Source organism: Homo sapiens, chromosome 17 (assembly GCF_000001405.40).
Source record: "Homo sapiens chromosome 17, GRCh38.p14 Primary Assembly".
Taxonomy (NCBI): domain Eukaryota; kingdom Metazoa; phylum Chordata; class Mammalia; order Primates; family Hominidae; genus Homo; species Homo sapiens.
Window position 1 is genome coordinate 70,365,989 of NC_000017.11, and position 5,039 is coordinate 70,371,027.

The 5,039-nt window shown below is 39.9% G+C and overlaps 1 annotated feature.

Moving 5' to 3' along the window:
• Positions 305-906: an enhancer, noted in NCBI's record as "OCT4-NANOG hESC enhancer chr17:68362434-68363035 (GRCh37/hg19 assembly coordinates)". NCBI's record gives its function as "activates a minimal SCP1, AML or CMV promoter by ChIP-STARR-seq in naive H9 embryonic stem cells {active_cell/tissue: H9 hESC(naive)}" and the evidence as "EXISTENCE:reporter gene assay evidence [ECO:0000049][PMID:30033119]".

Consider the following 5,039-nt stretch of genomic DNA (forward strand, 5'->3'; position numbering starts at 1 on the left):
AGAAATTTCTAATATTATCGTATTATTTATGGTAAAGGCACTGTGGTTAGATTTATCGACTTTTCATTGATTTTTAAAATTAATGTTGTATAAATTTCACATATATTATTCCAAATTGTGTATAGAATGCAGCTGTTATAAGAACTAGATTACAGCTTTAAAAACTTTTAAAAGCGGGGTAGCTTTTTAAAACAATTTTTTGCATAAATTTGATATCCCTGAAGCTAACAGGAAGCATTTTTATTAAAATTTTTGCTTTGAAACTCATAATACTGTGATACAAAATTCCTTTTTGAAAATGTTATAATCAATCTTCCATTTCTATTTACATCTGAGAATTCCAATTCATCACTTCCACTGAAGACTGCAGTCATTTGCTCCTAATTGGGCATCTTGTGCACTCTATCTCAATTGCATGGCAAAGCTGCTTGAAGCTCCTCATTACAGAGGCAGAAGGCTGGCAATAAACATCTTCTGCAGCCTCCATTTCTGCCAGCTTTGCTCCTCTTCTAGCTAATGGTATTCTAGGCTCCTAATTGTCTCACATCAAAAATCCCAAAGTACTTAAGTGTCCTCACTAGAAAAACAAAAGCAGGCACAATGTCAAACTTGAAGCCCCAGCACATCTTTAAAAGTGAGGAGAGCTGCCTGGCTCTGCAGCCAGGCCCAGGGAGATGAAGAGGAAACAGCTTAGCAATTTGCATCACACTCCTGGGAGGCTATTGGTGCCATCTGAGCAGAGGACCTGATTTTTCCCCTTCATTTCCTTTCCTCCCCTTCCTCCATTCTCTATTGTATGTGAAGGTTTTGTGGCTTGATGAAAGATCAGAAAAGGTCAGGGAATTCTCATAAGGTGCCGCCACATATGGGAATCTTCACATATATACATATCGTTTAAATGTATTTCCAAATCAACAAACTTTTCAGAAATGATGCATGCAGCTTCTCCTAGCAAGAACAATTCTTGTGAGATCTGAGTGTCACTACGGTGGTTTAGAATAAGTTCTAGTCCAGACAATTATTTTTATTTATTGATCATAGCAGTAAAGAGCCCAGGTTCTTACCCCGGGCTCCAATCAATCCTGTTTTTGTTTCGTTTTGTTTCAATTTAAATAAGTTAATGTGGAGCTGATAACTTACATGTATCAGTGGCTGGAACATGTAAAATACCCAGTAAACATGAGCTGTTACTAGCATTAATATTATTATCACTATCGAACACTAATTATATGCTAGGAATTATGATAAATCTTACTTAACCCTTTAATCGAACCCATTATGTAGATATTATTTCTTATCAATTTCATAGTTGAGAGAATTGAGGCTTAACTTATTAGGTAGTTTGCCCATGGTCACTCTGCATAAGGATGCTGGTCACATTGCTATAGTGTCATGTTTCTATTATACAAACCACTGGCAAGATTTGGTCCATAAATGCATTTTGTTTGGTTCACAAGTAAAAATATCTGCATTTTTAATACTTTGAATTAGATGATGCATTTTTCAGTTAGATGTCATCATGTTCACCGCCTATTACGTACCAGGTGTCTTTAGTCATTTTTGTTTACTTAGCTTGCCTCTATTTTAAGCAAATATCTATTGAGGGCCTATGTGCCAGACACTGTCGCGAACGTGGGACTTATAGTTCTGAACACAATAGAAAAAGTACTTACTCTCAGGGAGTTTGCAGCTTCTGCTGCAGAGCATTCAGCATGTCACAGTGGAGATATATGATAGCAAGTATTTCACAAGTAAAGGCAATACTAAATATGTTACCTTTGCAATATAAAATTAAAACTGGACTTATCTTTGAGAGGATAACTGAAAGTACAATGACTGCCTACGGTGTACACTTAAACTGAAGGTACAGTTGACTGCTTAAGGGCTACAATTGGGAAGCATCAGAAACAATTTTTGCCCTTAAATAGCTTATTGACTTACTTATACTACACCTCAAAAACTCATTTCTTCTGGTAGATGCAATGTCTTTGGTAATGCATGCTAAAATATGCATTTCTAAATAAAGTTAATATTGATGTAGTAAGCATCTTGTACATAGTTATTATATATGGATAAGTACACAGATAGTGAATTTAAAGAATTAATCATGGCACAATTATCATATGTCAATCAGATTAGCAAAACAAGTACATTTTGGCAGAGAATAAAATGGGAAGATTTTTGGAAGGCAGAGCAGCTGGGAACACTTGATGGAATAATCAACTTGGACCCCATCCCCAGCTGAAGAAGTGAGAACTCTAGCAGGCATGTTTCATGTTAATTGTTTCTATTCTCCCTTTTATATGAATAACACTGGTGGTGACTCAAGCTTTAGGTTTTAAGTAGGATTGTGTCCAAATTAACATCACCCATTGTATTAGTCAGGGTTTTGGAGAAAACCAGAACCAATAGGAGATAAAGATAGATATACAGGACAAAGACATAGATAAAAATGATATAGATATAGATGATACAGACTCAGACATAAGAGGAAATTTTTTATAGGAATTGGCTCATGTGGTTATGGAACTTGACAAATCGCATGATTTGCTGTACAAAAGTTGGAGATCCAAGAAAGCTGGTGGTGTAAATGCAGTCTGAGTACTACGGCCTGATAATTGGGGTCCAATGTTGTAAATCCCAGTCAGAGTCAGAAGGCCTGATCCATGTTTGAAGGCCTGAGAACCAGGAGCTCTGACATCCAAAGGCTGAATAAGATGGATGTCTCAGCTCAAACAGAGAGGGTAAATTAGCCCTTTGTATTAGTCTAATAAAGACGTACCCGAGACTGGGTACTTTATCAAAGAAAGAGGTTTAATTGACTCACAGGTCAGCAGGTCTGGGGAAGCCTCAGGAAATTACAATCATGGCAGAAGGTGAAGATATCACATCCTTCTTCTTACGGTGGCAGCAAGGAGCAGGGCAGAGTGAAGGTGGGGGGGTGGGGGTGGTAGGGAAGCCCCTTATAAAGCCATCTGATCTCGTGAGAACTCACTCACTATTATGAGAACAGGATGGGGAAACTGCCTCCATGATTCAATTATCTCCACCTGTTCCCTCCTAGGATACGTGGGGATTATGGAAACTACAATTCAAAATGAGATTTGGGTGGGGATACAGCCAAACCATATCAACCTTCCTCCACCTTTGCTTTCTATTTAGGCCCTCAAAGAATTGGATGGTGCCCACTCACATTGCTGAGGGATATCTGCTTTACTCAGTTGGCCAATTCAAATGCTAGTCTTTTCGGGAAACACCTTCACATACACACCCAGGAATAATGTTTACCGGCTATCTGGCCATCCCTTAACCATCACACAGATGATAATTGTTGAATGGATTTTGTGGGCTCTCCTTGTTGGGCCATGAATCATTGGGAAAACAACAAGGCTGGATGCTGAGGAGTGAATCAGGTAATGGACTGGATAGTTTCCTATAGCACCTCCAGATCTACTCTTCCCCATTGCTCGCTTTGTTTGTGCCTGAGGGGACGACTTTTGCAGCTTTCATCATGAAGTCCCTTTTGCCCTCTGACTTCCAGTTGGATTCAGGCCATGGGAGAATCAGCTGGTGCCCAGAGGGTGAGAGGAAAGTAAACTCAGCTCTTAATTTTCTTGGTTGTGTCACTGCCAAGCTGTGGTTTATCAGTGATTGGTTTTCTCTTGCAAAGGTCATAGCTCTTCTCAGTCCTATCCCACAGTTTTCTCTGACTTTGCATAACCATTTCCTCATCACACTCCTTTCAACCTATGCTGGTAACAGCTTTCCACTGTGGTCAGCTCCAGTGCTTCACCTCCCTGTGAGTTTAACTGTGCTGTATATATTTTTAAATGTTCCGTTTAAAAAAATTCTCCGCAATTTACTCATTTATTTTTTGCCTTGACCCTGACTGACTATTCCCTATTATGAATAGAAAATATTAGCTATTCTTGATATTGTCTATGCCTGGTAATAGCCAATGGAGCAAATTCACTTTGCCCTTTAAGTATATTATTTACCTGCATAGTTTTTTTGTTTTGTTCTGTTGTGAGACCCAGTCTCACTCACTCTGTCATCCATGATGGAGTGCAGTGATTTGACCTTGGCTCACTGCAACCTCCGCCTCCCAGGTTCAAGGGCTTCTCCTGCCTCAGCCTCCCATGTAGCTGGAATTACAGGGGTATGATTTTTGTACTTTTAGTAGAGACGAGATTTTACCATGTTGGCCAGGCTGGTCTCAAATTCCTGACCTCCATTTCTCTCCACATTTTGTAATTACTTGATGGGTTCATCCTGCCCACTGCACAGACAAAACCAATTTACCAAGACTGTGGTATTACAGTAAAGAAAGAATTTAATTAATGCAAGGCAGCTAATCGGAAGGACTGGAGTTATCATTCAAATCAGGCTCCCTGGGAACTCTGAGGCTAGGGTTTTTATGGATAATTTGGTGGGCAGAGGTCTAAGGAATGGGTAATCTTGACTGGTTGGGGATGAAGTCACAGAAAGGAGAAAATAGTCCTCGTGTGCTGAGTCCACCTCTGGGTGGGAACCACAGGACCAGTTGAGTCATGAGTTAGAGGTCCAGGTGGGGTCAGTTGCCAGAATGCAAAAGTCTAAAAAAATCTCAAAAGACCAATTTTAGGTTCTACAATAGTGATGTTATCTATAGGAGCAATTGGGGAAGTCACAAGTCTTGTGACTTCTGGCCATATGGCTCCTGAGCAAGAAAGGATTGTAGAAAGGCAAACTAGGGGATGATGGCACATTTAGCTATACCTACATCATAACAGAATTTGGGCTCCTCTCATAATACTAATCTCCTGGCTTCTCATTAGTTTTACAAATGCAGTTTCAATCCAGAAAGAAGGAGGGGATCAGTTTTAGGGAGGGACTATGATCATGCTTGCTTTAAAGTTAAACTATAAACTAAATTCCTCCCATGGTTAGCCTGGTTTAGGTCCAGGAATGAGAGAGGACAGCGAGCCTGTGAGGCTAGAAGCAAGATGGAGTCAGCCATGCCAGACCTCTCTCCCTGTCATCATCTTCGGGAAGGCGGT